The sequence below is a fragment of the Homo sapiens genome, chromosome 7 (assembly GCF_000001405.40).
Source record: "Homo sapiens chromosome 7, GRCh38.p14 Primary Assembly".
Lineage (NCBI taxonomy): Eukaryota > Metazoa > Chordata > Mammalia > Primates > Hominidae > Homo > Homo sapiens.
Genome location: NC_000007.14, coordinates 42,539,837 through 42,558,343, shown reverse-complemented (window position 1 = coordinate 42,558,343; position 18,507 = coordinate 42,539,837). Strand labels below are relative to the sequence as shown.

At 37.6% G+C, this 18,507-nt stretch overlaps 1 annotated feature.

Moving 5' to 3' along the window:
- Positions 17,065-17,938: an enhancer, noted in NCBI's record as "OCT4-NANOG hESC enhancer chr7:42580005-42580878 (GRCh37/hg19 assembly coordinates)". NCBI's record gives its function as "activates a minimal SCP1, AML or CMV promoter by ChIP-STARR-seq in naive H9 embryonic stem cells {active_cell/tissue: H9 hESC(naive)}" and the evidence as "EXISTENCE:reporter gene assay evidence [ECO:0000049][PMID:30033119]".

Below are 18,507 nucleotides of genomic sequence, written 5' to 3'. Positions count from 1 at the left end.
AAAGCATCGTGATTGCATGTTTCCATTGAACTTTCCCAAAGCATAATTTTAAACAAGGTTGTCAGGAAAAACTCACTAGTAAGATTACATTTGAATGAAGACTTAAGAGAGTAAGCCATGCCAATGGCTGGTGAAAGTGCTGCAGGCAGAGGAGAGGTCAAGTTCAAAGGCACTAAGATAGGCCAGGGAGGGAGGGGTGTACAGTTCATATTGGGCATTATAGTTCATTTGGTCTTTACTATGAGTGAGATGGGCAGTTATTGAAAAGTAAATGATCTCCTTTATCTTTTAAAAGAATTACTCTGGATGTTGTATGGAAAATAACCTTGAGACAGGGTGTAGGTGGAGTGAGAGTGGATGTAGGAAGCTCAGTTATGAGGCAACTACCATAATCAAGGTGAGAGATGTTCATGGCTTGGCCCAAGGTGATGTTCTGTAGAATGATGAAAAGTGCTCAGGTTCTGTATATATTGGAAAGGCAGAATCAACAGAATTCACAGACAGGCTGAATATTGAGAATTAGAAAAAGAGGAATAAAGCTTATTAATTTTACTCAACTATTTTTCAACCTACCAAAACCAACAATACAGTGATCCCACCACCTTTTAAAACTTTTGTCTTTTTTTGTCTTTTGTCTCCATTCATGGGCACATTTTCCTTTTGGCATAACAGTGACTTTGTGCCTATGATTATAAATGATCCTTTGTATATACTTCATCTCCCATGTATGGCTCCCCGACCATTGAACTCACCTGGAACTCACTTGCCTTGTTAATTCAAGTCTTGGCCTAATGTGTACTTGAATCTAGAGCTGGCATAGCTAGAGAAAAGCATGGGTTCATGCTTACTGATCTCACTTTAAACGTATTACTGACGACCTCACGCTAGACATTAGAGTTGCCAGCAATCTTACAATACCCTAATCCAATCAGTTTTACTTCCCATATTTTCCAGATGCCACAACATCTCTTTCCTCAAAATTCCATCAACCCCTCTCCTGTTGTCTTTCCATTGATGGCCTTGCTTCTTAAATTCCTGAGAAAATAGAAGTGATCAGAAGAGAATTTCCACAAGCTGCAACTAACCCTACCACCCTCCCATCTATATCAATATCCATATTCTCTGCCTTACTTCCTATTACTACAAATAAACGGTCCAATTCCTTATTAAAAGCCAACCCATCCCCTTGAACACTGATTCCCATCTTCTCTTTTATATTCAAAGACATGTCTTGGTCTTTTTTCCTACATTATTAAATTTCCCTGTGTATCAGACCATTCCCACCAATATGCAAATAGATATTGCATAATGTTTCCTCTTCTACTAACATTCCAATTCTCTGCTTCCCTTTAAAACAAATCTCTTCCAAAAATTATGTTTTATTGGTTCCATTTCTTCTTTTTCCATTTCTCTTGAACAGATTACAAACAAGTGTTTCTTTACATCACTTCATCACAGCAGCTCTTCTCAAGATCCTCCTTCCCCTCCACATTGTCTAGTTCAGTGATGAGATGTCAGTCCAAATCTTAATCCTACTTGACCTATCAGTGGCATTTGATGGCACTGAACACTCTTGCCTTAAAATAATTTTTCATACAACTTTGGGAACTTTTTTTTTTGAGTGGGGGGCTCTCTTCTCCCTTCACTGGCAGTACATTCTTTATCTTTTTATTGGCTCCTCATTTCCCTGAACTCTAAACATCAGATGGCCAGGACTCAGTCCTTAGGTGTCTTCTCTGCATTCACTTACTTGGTGATCTCATCTAGTTTCATAGCAATAAATAATACTTATATTCTGATGCCTCCAAATTTATATCTGAGATCTCTTCCCAGAACTTTATATTTTCTTCCCAGATCTCTTTATATTTGCTTCCCAGATCTGAGATCTCTTCCCAGAACTGTATATTGCTATTTGGTTTGGGTGTCTAGTTGGAATCTCAAACTTAAAATGGCCCACTCAAATTGCTCATATGCCCTGTGCCACCAAACCTGCTTCTCCCACATTCTTGTCCATCTCAGTGAATGAAAATACCATTCTTCCAGTTGCTACGACAAGAAATTCAGAGTCCACCTTAAATTTTCCCTATATCTCATACCTCACATCCCTGGGAAAACTCTATCAGCCCTATCCTCAAATTATACTCAAAATTTGGCAAATTTTCACCAACTCCCCAAATACCACAATAATTTTAGTTACCAATTATTGAAGTAGCCCCTGGACTGGTCTTCCCCATTCTGTCCATGGCCCCCCTCTGAGTATTCATCACACAAAGAGCTAGAGTGATTCTTTTAAAATGTAAGTAATCTTCAGTTCCTTCAAAAATCTCATTTGCAATAAATGCTAAGTCCTTAAATAGTGGGCTAAAAGACCCTACACATTTTGGCCTCCTTAGTCCTTTTTGAATTTCCTTTATTTCATCCTTTTTCTCACCAAAACAGCCAAACACCTAATCATGTCCCCACTGTATTAGTCAGTGTCCTCTAGAGAAACAAAACCAATAAGATGACAGATTGATTGACTGATCAATTTATTATAAGCAATTGGCTCACAATTATGGAAGCTGGAAATTCCAATGTCTCAGTTCAAGTTCAAAGGCTGAGAAGATGCTATAAAACCATGAAGAGTCTATATCCCAGGTCAAAGGCTGCAAGGCAGGAGAATTTTCTCTTACTTGACAGAGGGTCAGCCTTCTGTACTTCAATTGGTTGGATGAGGCCCACCCACTATCGGGGGAACCAGTCCCCGATATTTCAATGTAGGTTCTTTTCTATTTTCCCTAAGTGTTGGCTGGTCTGAGAAATAAAGGGAAAGAGTACAAAAGAGAGAAATTTTAAAGCTGGGTGTCTAGGGGACACATCACATGTCGGCAGGTTCTGTGATGCCCCCTGAGCCATAAAACCAGCAAGTTTTTATTAGCAGTTTTCAAAGGGGAGGGAGTGTACGAATAGGGTGTGGGTCACAGAGATCACATGCTTCACAGGGCAATAAAAGATCACAAGGCAGAAGGTCACGGCAAGATCACAAGGTCAGGGCAAAACTAGAATTACCAATGAAGTCCCATGTCCCACTGTGCATGCATTGTCATTGATAAACATCTTAACAGGGTTCAAGAGCAGAGAATTGGTCTGACTACAATTCACCAGCCTGGAATTTCCTAATCCTAGCAAGCCTGGGGGCGCTGCAGGAGACTAGGGCATGTTTCATCCCTATCTACAACTGCATAAGGCAGACACTCCCAGAGTGGCCATTTTAGAGGCCCCCCCTGGGAATGCATTCTTTTCCCAGGGCTGTTAATTATTAATATTCCTTACTGGGGAAAGAATTCAGTGATATTTCTCTTACCTGTTTTCGGCAATAAGAGAAATATGGCTCTGTCCTGCCTGGCTCCCAGGCAGTCAGACCTAATGGTTATCTCCCTTGTTCGCTGGACATCACTGTTATCCTGTTCTTTTTTCAAGGTGCCCAGACTTCATATTGTTCAAACAAATATGCTTTATGAACAATTTGTGCAGTTAACGCAATCATCACAGGGTCCTGAGGCGACATACATCCTCAGCTTACAAAGATGATGGGATTAGGAGATTAAAGACAGGCATAGGAAATTATTGATTAGGGAAGTGATAAATGTCCATGAAGTCTTCACAGTTTATGTTCTTCTGTCACGGCTTTGGCATCAGCAGCTCCCTCCATTTGGGGTCCCTGACTTCCTGCAACAAACAACAGGGAAGGCAGTCTGTTTCACTCAGTCTTCCAATTTAAATGTCAATCTCATCTAAATACACCCTAACAGAATCACCTAGAATAATGTTTGACCAAATATCTGGGTACCTCATGGGCCAGTCAAGTTGATGCAAAATTAGCCATCACACCTGTGAAGGACTTTGGTGTTTTCTGTTCCTTATTAGAGCATTATTTCCCTAGCTATGCACATAGCTCTCTCCTTGACTTCCTTCAGGTCTCCTCTGAAATGTTGTATTATCAGAGAGGTGTGCACTCTGACCCCCCACTGCATCACACTGACACTTCCTGGTCCCCCTTCCTACTGTTATTTTTTCCCTTAGCACATGCCACCACCTGTTGTAGTGTGTATTTATTTATTTATTGACTATCTTTCCTTCCTCCACCCCCATTTGCATGTGAGCCACATGAAGGCAGGGATTTTGTCTATTTTATTCACTGCTGAGTACCCAGAGCCTGGCATATGGTAGTCACTTAGTGAGTATGTGTTGAATGAACTAATACTTGATTACAGCCTTAAAAATGACCTCACCAATACAATGCAGAGAAAAGAGGGGGAATGAATACAATTTACACTTGCCAAAATGATAATGTGATATCCTCTTGAGTTTTAGTATTCTGAAGGATTTTCCTCTAGCTCCTTGCAAAAACTGAATATATATATATTCAGTTTTTATATGTAATATATATTATATATAATAAATGTATATTACATTTATATATAAATATATATTTATATGTATGCATGTGTGTGTGTATTTAAGGGTCCTGCCCGTGTATAACCTGTTATGTTCTTGATTCTGCCTGTGTCTGAACTGCAAAGAAAATAACTGTTATATCAGAATTCAATTTTGTTCCTCAAGTCTTAAAAAAATATGCAGTAGAAAGGAATACAGGTTCATGGGACACATTAGCATCATTAATTCTAGTTGCTTTAGTTGCATAGCAGGTCAGTCCATGGCAGATTCAACACAGGCACTCTCAAAAAGTTGTTCCTATGTTATAAAGCAGGGTTTGACAAACTACGGACTACAGGCAAATTTGTTTCACTGCCTATTTTATTAAAAAAAGTTTTCTTGGAACACAGTCATATTCATTTATTCATGTATGGTCTATGGTTGCTTGCTCTATAATGGTAAAACTGTAACAGAGACCATATCACCCACAAACAAATATTTACTATCCTGTTCTTTACAGAAGAAGTTTTTTGACCCCTGCTCTAAGGAATATGGCATAACATAAAGCAGGCATCCCCAACCCCCAGCCCACATACTGGTACTGGTCTGTGACCCGTTAGACCAATACCAGTCTAACACAGCAGGAGGTGAGTGGTGGGTGAGGCAGTGAAGCTTCATCTGTATGTACAGCCTCTCCCCATCTCTCACATTACCACCTGAGCTGTGCATCCTATCAGATCAGCAGTGGCATTACATTCTCATAGGAGCACAAACCCTATTGTGAACTGCTTATGCAAGGGTTCTAGATTGCACGCTCCTTATGAAAATCTAATGCCTGATGATCTGTCACTGTCTTCCATCATCCCCAGATAGGACAATCTACTTGCAGGAAAAGAAGCTCAGGGCTCTCACTGATTCTACATTATGGTGAGTTGTATAATTATTTCATTATATATTATAGTGTAATAATAATAGAAATAAAGTGCACAATAAGTGTAATGTGCTTGATCATCTCTAAACCATACCCCAACATTTGTCCATGAAAAAATTGTCTTCCACAAAACCAGTCCTTGGTACCAAAAAGGCTGGGGACCACTGACATAAAAGATTGACAATAGGACAGATATATGAATGGGGCTAGGAGGATTGGGAGGAGGGAGGCCTTGCATAGTCGACTAGGCAATGTGGGATAAGGGAAGTAAGACCATGATCATAGAGAAAGCTGGTCAAATGTATGGAAAAAGATAAATATTGGCAAAAGAGTGTTCCTCTGCAGGGAATATGATCACCAAAGAGCAGCAACTGCAATGTTGCAAATAAGCTGTGCCAGTTGGACTGGAGTTTGTTGAGTCAATCTACTTATAAATCATATGTAAATCCTTGACAGAAAGAGACCTGCAACAGAACAAGAATGATATCATAGCTCAATAAAAATGTTTAGCAGAAGAGAAAAATGGAAATGCCTCATCTTTTTTAGGCTTGGGAAGAAAAACAGGTTGTTGGTAGCACAGTAAAGGGAGGAGAAAGACCTGACAGGTCAGCACAGCTGCTTCTTTTTCTGCCAGATCTTGTTACTGCTTATTCCATCTACACCTCAAAGCAAACACACATGTTCATACTGGTCTTTAGTGAAGCTGATTCTTTTGTGGATTACCTATTGGGAAAATACTTATGTTGGAGCAAAGAGAGGTGATATTAACCATAGATGTCTCAGTTATAGGTGGGCAGAACTGAGCCGGTTTTGGTAGGAGAGGGAGTTAGAGCATTCAAACAGTAGTTCCCACAGGACTGGGACAGAATGAAAGAGGTGAAGCCACTGAGGCATTAGGAGCCACCACCAGTACCCCTTTAGACCTCATGCGTAACTGCACAAAGCCTAAGCTCCAGCTGCCTTTGTCTGCTTAGTTCAAGGGCACAGAGTTGGAAGTTCCAGAAAATACTAATACCACTGCTGCTCTGTCCTGCCTCCCACCCGCCAGCAGCCCTCCACAAATGACTAAAGGGAATGGGCAATAAATGCCCCAAATCTTATATCTCATAAGGGATAACTCTGAGGCAGGTGCCCTATGTTTTTCTCCTGGAGTCCTGTGGTACTCTGCTCCTATCAGCCACAGTGACAGGTGACTCGAGAACATGCTCCTTTCTGTCTCACTCGCCCATTCTCTCCTTCCATCCTGGGAGCACTTAGAATCATTGTCTCCAGATCTTCTTTTAGGGGCATCCAAATTAAGAAAGCTGTCTACAATGAGGTGAGAGGCAGCACAAGAAAACTTACATGAGGATATGTCCAAATTGGTTTTGGATCATAATCCCTAAAGACACAATCCCAACTGTCGGAATTCCTAAAGATCAAAATCCCTAAAGCCTAAAATTCCTAATGTCTAAAATCTCAAAAATTACACTCACAGGATCACTACATCATATTAGATGGAACTATTACCTTGTTACTGTCTTTTTGCTGAAGAAAATTGATTTCAATGGAATCCCCAAACCATAATGAGAGATTTGGAATTAGGCTCCAGTGAGGATTCTAAAAGTGAATTTCAAGCTATTACCCATAAAGTTGTATTTTTCTGTTCAGTCCAATGCATTTGGCAGAAAATTCAGGTGAGTGGATTGGCCATATGATATGGCAACTATGAAAACTTTAGTTTAAAAATGAGTCATTTGTCTACATTGCATTCCTTCCAGCTGATGACATCCCAGGATCTTTTAATGAATTAAAGCTACATTTGCTTGAAGAAGCCAGTTAAGTTACCAAATGGTTAAAAAATAATTATATGCATGGTACTATAAGAAAATATTTATGAAACAGTGCTGTTCCATCATCAGTATTGTTTCCACCAAATTTATGGTCTGTATATGACCATATGTGGAATTGATTTCCAAATACCCAAAACAATATGGAAGCATCACACAGAAGATGGGAAAACTTAATAGGAAATGCTCCTGTTGGCATATGTTAAATCACAGAAAAAATTTCAAAAAGAGCAGCATCATGTGGAAAATGAATGTGAACATATTCTCCCAGGAGAGTCATATTTTAAAACAAAAAAAGGCAGCTATTCATTCTGATGCAAGACTTCAAAATACAGTTAATGAGTGCAAAAGTCAGCCAGCTTTTATGGACTATCTCTGTGTAATTACCCATAATCTACCCCTGTAATACACTTTTTCATATATGGAAATTTCTTTTTAGTATTTTTCTTTTCTTTTTTTCAGCTTTTTTTCCCACTATTTGAAATTGACAGAATTGTTTTTTACAATGTGCTATGCTGTGTATTTCATCTTCACATCATTTTCAATACTGGAGGTATAAATTGTATGGAAACTTTTAGAGAGTTGTCATTTGTTTTATGTATGTTTTTTGCAAATATGACCACATGAAATTGTGTTATCACCATGTTAACTTCGTGTATGAGCAGTGTGCAAGTATTTATAAACATTGAAACTTTATCAATAAATAAAGAGATGTCCTTTATGTACATCTGCATTTGTGAAAGATAAAATTTCTTGAGATGTTGGCTCTTGGGAGATCAGATTCTCACAGACCTGAAGAAATCAAATATACATATCTCTATTGTAGTATTCATGCCAAAAATATTTAACCTAAATGTAGTTATGAGACAACAATTAGTCAAATCCAGATTATGGCACATTCAATGACACAACTTACCTGGACTCCTCGAAAATGTCAAAGGTATGAAAAATAAAAAACAAGAACCTTCTAGAGTAAAGAGGACTAAAAGGACATGACAACCCAAAGCAGGGACAGTCCTGAGTGCATCCAGAATTTTAAAAAGCAAAGAAAGAAAAAAGAAAAAAAAAACAGCCTGTAAATGTCTGACTCATTTTCCTTTGAGATGACTTTTTGCCTGGGGCTCACAAGCCAGGAAAAGTACCAGTCTTTCTTTCCAAAACACCATTTCCATACTCAATTATACATTTAAGGGGTGGGAGTATTTCTGATAACCAGCCTTCTACGTAAATATTTCTCCATTTTAATTCTTTTATTCTTTCCTGTTCGTTCTTTTATTAGAGCAGAGGGTTGTACATTTTTTTTCAGCAATTTGTACTTAAAACGGCATTAGTTTAAATTATTTCAATTAGAATTTTCCCCATAATCTCAGACCCACGTAGCCTTACCTTAGTAATAGTTCTAACATAATGTTTTTATTTGTTTAGGCTTTGAGTACATTAAATCAGGAAGGCATAGGTAAGAATTCATTTAAATGGAATCATTGAAGCTTTAAGGGAAATAGCCAACCTTGAATAGAATGTTGGACAGTATCGAATATGGTTTATAACTATCCTGGTTTTCGAGTTTTTTGTTTTCTTGTTTTTTTTAACTAAAATACATTGAGGTATAATTTATATGCAATAAAATTCACCCATTTAAAGTGTGTGGTTTGATAAATTTTGATGAATGTATAGTGTCATTTAACTACCACCGAAATCAAGATAGAGAACATTTCCACCACTACAAAAAAGGTCCCTCATGAGTCATGACCCTTTGTAGACATTCCCTTCTCTCCACTCCTAGTCCCTGGCAATCCCTGATTTACTTTCTGTCTCTATAGTTTTACATTTGGAAGAATGTCATATAAATGGAATCATACAGTATATAAATTTTTGTGTCTGGATTCTTTCACTTAGCATATTTGAGATTCATCCACGTTTTAACATGTATCACTGGTTCGTTCATTTATTTTACTGAATACCATTTCATTTTGTGGGTGGACTATATTTTGTTTATCCATTGATTGTCCAGTTAATGGATAGTTACATTGTTTCTAGATTTTTTGATATTATGAAAAAGCTGCTATAAACAGTCACATGCAGGTCTTTGTGTGGACATATGTTTTTATTTCTCTTGGATAAATACCTAGAGCAGAATGGCTGTCAGATGGTAAGTATATATTTAATTTTATGAGAAAATGACAAACTGTTTTGCAAAGTGGTTGTAACATTTTGCATTTCCACCAGCAATATATAGATTTCTCAGATGCTCCATATCCTTACCAAAACTCAGCAATATCAGTTGTACCAATCATATCCATTCTGGTGGGTGTGCAGCGGTATGTCATTATAGTTTCGTTTGCATTTCTCTAATATCTAACAGTTTTTAACATTATCACATGTGCTTGTTTGACACCAACTTATACAAAACAGAATGCAAAGATTTTTATTGTGATTGTGTTGAATTTACAGATTATTTGGGGAGAGAATTGACATCTAAGTCATATAGAGGCTTTCAAGCATGGGAATAACGTCTCCTTGGGTTCTGGTGAGACCTCAGGAAGCTCTTAGTCATGGTAAAAGGGAAGGGTTTCAGAAGCATCACACAGTGTGAGAGTAAGTAAGAGAGTTGAAGGTGCCAGACTATTCTAAGCAATCAGATCTCACATTAATTCATTAACAAAGAGAGGCCACTGAGCCATTTGTGAGGGGTCTGACCCCTAACTCAAACACCTCCTACTAGGCCCCACCTCTAAAAACGGAAACTACATTTCAACATGAGATTTGGAAGGGACAAACATGCAAACTATATCAATATATTTACATAACATTTTGCTGATGTTATGAATTACAGTGACTTATTTTTTAATGTTGAACTAAATTCATATTCCTTTACTAAACCCTACTTTGTGATGATTTACTAACTTTTCTGTACAATGCTGGATTCAATTTGCTAATATTTGGCTAATAATTTCTGCTTCTATGTTTGTGAGGGATATTGTTCAGCAGCTTTCTTTTCTTAAAATGTCTTTGTCCAGTTTGGTTATCAGCATAATGCTGGTTTCATAAAATAATTTGGGAAAATTTGCATCCTCATCAATTGCCTGGAAAAAAATGTGTTCAACTGATATTATTTATTCTGTAAATGTTTTGTAGAAATCACCAGAACAGTTCCCTCAGCCCAAATTTTTATCTATCTATCTATATCTATCTATCATCTATCAATCATCAATTTTTTGTGGAAAAGTTTTAAACTATATATTCCATCACTTTAATAAATATAGTACTGTTCAGATTATATATTTCTTTTTGAGTGGGCTTTGGTACATTGTGTCTGTCAAGAAATTTATATTTCAGGGGCCCACTTCCTCAGGACATTTTGAGACTGTTCCTCAGGCCGTGGTCACTCATATTGGCTCAGAATAAACCTCTTTAAATATTTTACAAAGTTTGTTTTTTCCATTAACAATTAATTGGCACCCAATGTGGGGACCTTGGAGAAACTCAAGACCCTCTGAAGGAGGCACCCAAACTCAGAGCTAAGGCATTTGTTTCATGCAAAAGTAATTGCAGATTTGCCGTTTTGCGATTACATTTGCACCAACCTAATACAAGTATGGGCCCGTTGAAAGCCCTCTGACTTTGAGTTTCTCCTTACATAGAACTGGTAAGTCCTCCTGAGCCCCAGGCTTCATGCTTGGTTGATGTTCCTTTGGTTTATTCTTAGCTGGTTCTTTTCCTAGGAAGTTATTGTTTGGGATCCTAACTCTGATTCAGAGGTGCATTCTAAAGGGTCTTCTGTGTTGTCTTTTTCTCCCAAAATTAATCTAAATTGGCTCCTCTACACATTTATGGAAGAAACACAACTGTCCTTTCTGTAAATGAATGAGAGACTGAGCTTCTCAACTCCACTACACTGAACCCCAGACTACAGTTCAGTTCCTGCCTTTAAAAAAGGAAATGAATCCTCTAAGAATGAGAAAAGACAAGGAGAAAGACCCGCTTTGGGCACGCTGGTTGGTTTTATGGTGCCTCTACTCACAAGTATTTGTGTAAATGGGAAAATTTGAAGCCATGTTAGGTTTTCTAGGACTCCAGTTGGTTACATATTATGGTCTGTTCTTGTACACATTTTTAAACACATGGGTAAATTACATCAGGAAAAATTCAGAGTGTAATAGTTGACTTGCAACTATAGAGTTAAATACAGTCTCTTAAGTTCTCTGTCTCTATTTTCTTCTCTGCCTGCTTTAAATCCACTGTTACTTTTCTACCAGCATTGAGATAAAAGCCACTGTTTATGGCATTACTAACTCAAGGCTACTTGGGAGACTTTGTTTTTCTTACACAGTTCAGCCGGTTCTAGCTAAAATGTAAGCATTAAGAATTTAACCCTAAATTTACTTAAAAAAGAGTGAAAGAGGTTTTAAAATCAAACTTCTATGGAAAACGTTATACCTAAAATTTTGGTCCACAGCCTTTATTGCATTACCAATCAGGGCAACTAAAGTTTAGCTGTATGAACAGGCCCCAATCTTGCCAGAAATAATTTGAATCCAGTCATCTTTTGTAAGCCAGTAAGTTTGTACTGCTATCCCATGGCTAGGGTCCCAAAGTAAAAGTCTCTCTCTCTCTCTCTCTCTCTCCCCCACCCCCTGAACTCTGTGTGTGCGTGTGTTTGTGTTTAGATGTGTTTCTATGGATATACATGTATTATGTTGTGTCTGCCTGGTTCCAAATTGGCTTATAAATAATGAAGTACTCATAAATTAAGTAAATAAGCCCAAGTGCCTTTCAAGTTCATGTAACTTGAGTAGATCATTAATAAATAAGCTGGCTTTAAAATTATTGGTAAAATAAAACTAGACATGTATTCAGAATTGTCAGCATACATTTTTGCCTGGGTTTATTGCTCATGTAGTTTTTATATTTATATTTTAAGGTGCCACGATTTGGCACAAAGGTTATAAAGCTATAAATCCAGGCTAAAACAGAATGGTTTTTGTTTGTGTAATTTTTGATAAATAAGACTAATTTAATGTTGTTGATTTAATGAAAACAGCTAAATCCTCTGAATTATCAGCAAAAAATATCTATATGTTTAACTTCAAGGTTCTGATTAAGGTGAACACCTGATAGTCACAGGCTATAAAACTGGTTAGCAAGGAAATAACTTTAAATGATGACTAGCTTTGTCTAATGCCTTAGTTCTCATAAGTAATCCAGGTAAACTGCTGAAAATGAAGAAATTGAGTAAATGTAAATGTGATAAATGCTTATAGGTGAATTTTTATGTAGTTTAAAATCTCAAAATTATTTTGGATTAAGTAACAGGTACTCATTAATTGTCTGGGTCATTTCCAATTAGAAAAGAGTTATAGTTGAAGAACCATATTTCCAAAAATTATAGATTGGTTTCATCTATAAAAAGCTAACATTTGCTAGACAGTTTGGGATTTCTTGCTTCCTAGGTTTTCACTAAAATTCAACACTACCAAAAATAAAAATTCTAGTTGGCATATAATTCTATGTGTAAAATATACCAAAGAAGATGTGTTTTTAATAAAATAAGTAAATTATAAGAAAGACATAAAGTTGTATTCTTATTGAGAAAAAGAGTAATTTTGTGCAATTCAGAAGTTATTGAAAGGTTATTTATGAAAACATTAAAAAGGAACCAATAAATAGGAGAGAGTGAAATGATGAAAGTTATAGATGTGAAGATGTATTTTTCTTGCTTGGTTGATGTTCCTTTGATTTCAAAGAATCTTGTACGGCAAATTTTTGTCCTAAAGTAAAATGACTGGTTATTTTAAAAAGAGGGAAATTTAAGACAAAACAGAAAGTCTAAGCATGTTGTAATTGGTCTGTGTAAGTTGTGATAAGGTTCATAAAAATAGAAATTATGAAAAAAAATTTTGTACATGATTAAGTTGGCTATAACTAAAAGGAAAGTATTTATAACATTCTTCCTAGATATTGAACTTTGATACTAAAAACACACTAATACAAAACTAAGCAACAAGATTAGAACAAGTTTTTCTTAAAGTATTGACTTGCTTTTAAGGAAATTGCAAAATACTTTGATTTTTAAATTCCATAATCTGTTTCTTTTAGAAACTTCTCAGATTGATATATCAGAAGCTCAACTTCTGCTGTATCTTGCTGCCTTCAGCTTTTTCTCCCTTCAAGAAGGCCTGAGATGGAAACTTTCTCCTTCAACTTTTTGTCGGCCCCTGTAACTTTTTTTCTCCAGTTCTAAATCTGTTGTTATGGCCTGATGCTGAAATATTTTATCTTGAAGGTTTAAAAGGGCAATGTTTTTCTCCAGTATAACTTAATTCTATACTGTTGGCTTTTCTTAATATGTTTAGGGGCCAGGAGCCCTCTAAAGTTTTGCTGAAAAATCAACTCACAAAACACAGATTGGTTAAAGAGAAGGCATGCAGATTTGTTTGGTGTGCATATGCAAGAGTCTTCAGAAATGAAGAACTAAGATATAAAGAGAATTGTACACTTTTATGCCTAGGTTCAACAGAGTATGGACATTATATAAAAATATGATTGAACAAAAAGTCATAATCTAATGCTAGTAGATGAAGTGGGGAAACCCTGCAAGGCCAATCTGTCTAGATTCCTCTTGACCTCTCTGAGATGCCTTCCTTCCTTCCTTCTGGGTATGGGGTTCTTATGATCTAGAGTTGAACAAGGTAGGTCAGATATTAGTAATTTCTTTATGGCCAGTTCTTATGCAGAAAGGAAGAGTGAAAATTGGATTAATATTTTTAGGTTTTATGGCTGGCTTTGAGAGAAAAGGGTTCTGTTTTTTAGGACCTGCTTTGAGGAAGATAGATTCTAGTTTCTATGACCAGCCTTGAGGGAAAATGGGACTGAGAGACAGAAGGACAGGAGACAGAGAAAGAAAAACTTTTACTTCTGAGGCTGCTTGTGAAGCTTTCAGTTTGGTGTATTGTTTTCAGAGCCCCAACATATGACCAAAGTGTTCAACAAGGCCAGGAAACCTCCCACGCTGTGACTAAGAATCACATATCCCCTTGCTGAAGGTACTAGTTTTCCAGTTTCCTCTACAACGTAGTGTTCACACAGGAACCTGGACACACTCTTCCCGTGTCCTACTAATTTAAGTACCCTTTTCATCAGGTTTGACTCTCAGGATATCCAAATCCACTTCCCTAAAGGGGGAACAGTCCCATTGCAGAACATTTTTCTTCACCGTTTTGATAACTAGACTGAGAAACAAAGGTTTTAACATAATTCCTGTATTGTTTAATTATGTTTTCTGATTATTTAAGAAAACTGAATATTAAAAGGCTTAAGGTTTTTACATACATGTAAATTTTTTATTGCTTTTGAAGTCTTGATTATCAATCTGCTAAAATGAATAACTGTTATTTTACAGTGACCTGTGATTCCATTTTAATCAAATGTTTTCAGCCTTTTCTTAGCTTTCTTTTGAGATGGAGTCTTGCTTTGTTGCCCAGGCTGGAGTGCAGTGGCATGATCTCCACTCACTGCAACCTCTGCCTCCCGGGTTCAAGCAATTCTCTGATCTCACCCTCCTGAGTAACTGGGACTACAGGCACTCATCAACACACCTGGTTAATTTTTGTATTTTTAGTAGAGACATGGTTTCATCATATTGGTCAGGCTTGTCTCAAACTCCTGACCTGAGATGATCCACCCACCTCGGCCTCCCAAAGTGCTGGGATTACAGGCGTGAGCCACTGTGCCTGGAGCATTTACCCTTGTTAAAAGGTTTTAACAAACTGCTTATGTTTTATACAGCTAATTGCTACAAACCTGTAACTAAAACCAAGATTAGAGTAACTTAAGGCATAAGACATAAGTCAATTTTGTAACCTTGCCTTTGGGCTTTTAGTTTTTGGCTCCTACATTGCTTGAAATGTTTTAAGGGCTGATGAGTGCCTGCTCACTTCCATTCCTGTCTGGCCTAAAACATTTAATTGGTTATAATCCTTTTGGCTTGAAGTCACTTGGCCATAGGGGTCCCATTGAGGGACAGGATAGACCCAGTGTAAGTAGCCATACCATACCACCAAGGATATGGGACAGACAAAATAAAATTTGGCTATCAATGCTGCCTCTAGCAAATCTTAGCCAAAAAGGAGAGAATGCAATCCAAAAATAAAACCCTAAGCCCCTAGAACTGACTGAATGGAACTTCTCTTGGCTAAGAGGACCCCAGAGAAACATGAAAAACTTAATTCCCAGACATGATGTGAAGGGAGAATGGACATGTCTTGTTATACCCTTTCCCTTTTGGAGCTTAGGCACGACTAATCAGCATCAACATTAAAATAGAGATCATAAGATTGACAAAACAGAAAACAGACTCTGTGGCAATAAGATACCAATTTTTTTTCTTTTTCTTTTTCTTTTCTTTTTTTTTTTTTTGAGATAGGATCTCACTTTGTTGCCCAGGCTGGAATGCAGTGGTGCAATCATGGCTCACTGCAGTCTCAACCTCCCAAGCTAAAGCGGCCCACCCACCTCAGCCTCCCAAGTGGCTGGGACCACAGGCATGCACCATCATGCCTAGCTAATTTTTGAAGATACCAAATTTCAAACTGACTCTGGTATAGCATCAAATGACAGAGAGCAGACCCTGAAGGAAATAAATATATTTTATCTCAAAATGTATTTTTTGAATTTTTTTTTTGAGATGGAGTTTTGCTCTGTTGCTCAGGCTGGAGTGCAGTGGTGTGATCTCAGCTTACTGCAAGCTCCGCCTCCCGGGTTCATGCCATTCTCCTGCCTCAGCTTCCTGAGTAGCTGGGACTACAGGTGCCTACCACCACACCTGGTTAATTTTTTGTATTTTTAGAAGAGACAATAATTTTGTATTTTTAGAGTTTCACCGTGTTAGCCAGGATGGTCTTGGTCTCCTGACCTCATGACCCGCCTGCCAAAGTGCTGGGATTACAGGTATGAGCCACCATGCCCAGCTTTTTGAATTTTTTTTTTTTTTCTGAGACAAAGTCTCGCTCTTTTGCCCAGGCCAGAGCGCAGTGGCGCTATCTTGGCTCACTGCAAGCTCTGCCTCCCGGGTTTATGCCATTCTCCTGCCTCAGCCTCCCAAGCAGCTGGGACTACAGGCGCCCACCACCATGCCCAGCTAATTTTTTGTATTTTTAGTAGAGACGGGGTTTCTCCGTGATCACCAGGATGGTCTCAATCTCCTGACCTTGTGATCCACCCATCTTGGCCTCACAAAGAGCTGGGATTACAGGCATGAGCCACCACACCCGGCTGCCTTTTGAATACTTTTAAATGGCCCTGCAGAGCTGTCTTTTGTGGGGAAATTGTATTTGTAGAGAATCTCTACTAATGGACTCATGCCTTTCCTTTCTGGGTGTTCTTGGATCTAGGAGAGATTAACTAAGAGTCTGGCACCTTTTGAGGTTCCAAAGGAGAAATTTACCACATATTCTTTCTGAAACCTGCTATCTAAGAGGCTTCATCTACATAACAAGAACCTTGGCATCCACAACCCCCATCATCTTAACTCAAGCATTTCTTTCAGTTGACTTCCAGTTTTTTTTCAACAAATTGCCAATCAGAAATCTTTGAATCCACCTTTGACCTGTAAGACCCTGCTTCAAGATGGCCCATCTTTTTGGGCGGAAGCCAATGTATACCTTACATGTATTGATTTATGTCTTTGCTCATAACTCCTGTCTTCCTAAAATGTATAAAACCAAACTGTAAGCTGACTGCCTTAGGCACAATTTCTCAGGACCTCATGAGACTCTTCCCTGGGCCATGGTCACTCATACTGCCTCAGAATAAACCTCCTTAAACTTTTTTTTAGAGAAGAAAGAAACTTTATGTCAGTTAAATTATATTTATTGGCAAAGTATTGTTCATAATGTTTCATTAATATCCTTTTACAGTCTGTAGCATCTGTAGTGAGGACTAAGCTCTGGTTTTTCCTCATCCTGCCCAAATTCCTATCTAAGGGGTCTAGGGAGTCATGCCCTACAAACCATAAATTGTCATCAGATGGGTTTATTTAACCTGATATATTGTGACTTACTTTCCAATCTGACTCTGGCATAACATTACATGACAAAAAAGAAAATAAAAATATTTTACCCCAAAACATGTTTCTTTGCCATATTTTGAAGTGGCCCTGCAAAGCTGTCCTTTATGGGGGAAAATTTACATCTGTAAAGAAACTCTATTAACATAGCTAGGTCTTTTTCTTCCAGGCCTTCCCAGTCCTGAAGAGATTACTTGTCTAGCACCTTTTAAAGGACTGAATAGGAAACATTTGTCATCTATTGTCTCTAAGGGCAGCCACTATGAGACTTCAAAAGAACCTTAGTCTCCACAATCTTTTATCTTAACCTGAACATTTCCTTTCTATTGACCCCAGGTCTTTAGACAAACTCAACCTAATTGTCAACCAGAAAATGTTTAAATTTACCTATAGCCTGGCAGCCCCTGCCTTGAGTTGTCCCACCTTTCTGAACCAAACCAATGTATTTCTTAAATGTATTTGATTGATGTCTCATGCCTCCCTAAAATGTAGAAAACCAAGCTGCACCCTGACCACCTTGGGCACATGTTCTCAGGACCTCCTGAGGGCTGTGTCATGGGCCATGGTCACTCATACTTGGCTCAAATAAATATCTTCAAATATTTTACAGAGCTTAACTCTTTTCATTGACAGTAGTGGTGTTCCCTTTCTTATTTCTAATATTAGTAATTTATTTTCTCTTTCTTAATCAATCTGGTTAGAAATTTAGCAATTTTCTTGATATCTTTAAAAAAACCAGATTTTCCTTTGGTTAATTTTCTTTATTGTGTTTCTTTTTTAATTTTATCTATATCTGTGATTATTTTTATTGTTTTCTTCCCACTGTATGTTTGTATTAATCTGCTCTTCTTTTTAAAGAGTATCATAGATTTGAGTCCTTACTTTTTTTTTAATGCACTAAAATCTATAAATGTCTCTCTAAGCACTGCTTTCACTGAATCCCACATATTTTGATATGTTGTGGGGTTTTTTCATTCAATTTAAAACATTTTCTAATTTATATTGTTAATTTTTTAACCTATACGTTCTTATGACAGGCAGAACAACGGCCCTTTAAAGACATTCACATTTTAATCAATGGAACTTGTGCATATGTTACCCACCATGACAAAAGGGACTTTGCAGATGTAATTAAATTAGGTATCTTGAGATAGGAAGACTATCCTGGATTAGCAAGGTATACCTAACATAATCATGATAGTGATTAAAATGAAAAGAGTTAGGCAGAGGAATGAGAGATGTGATGACAGAAGCAGAGATTGGAGAAG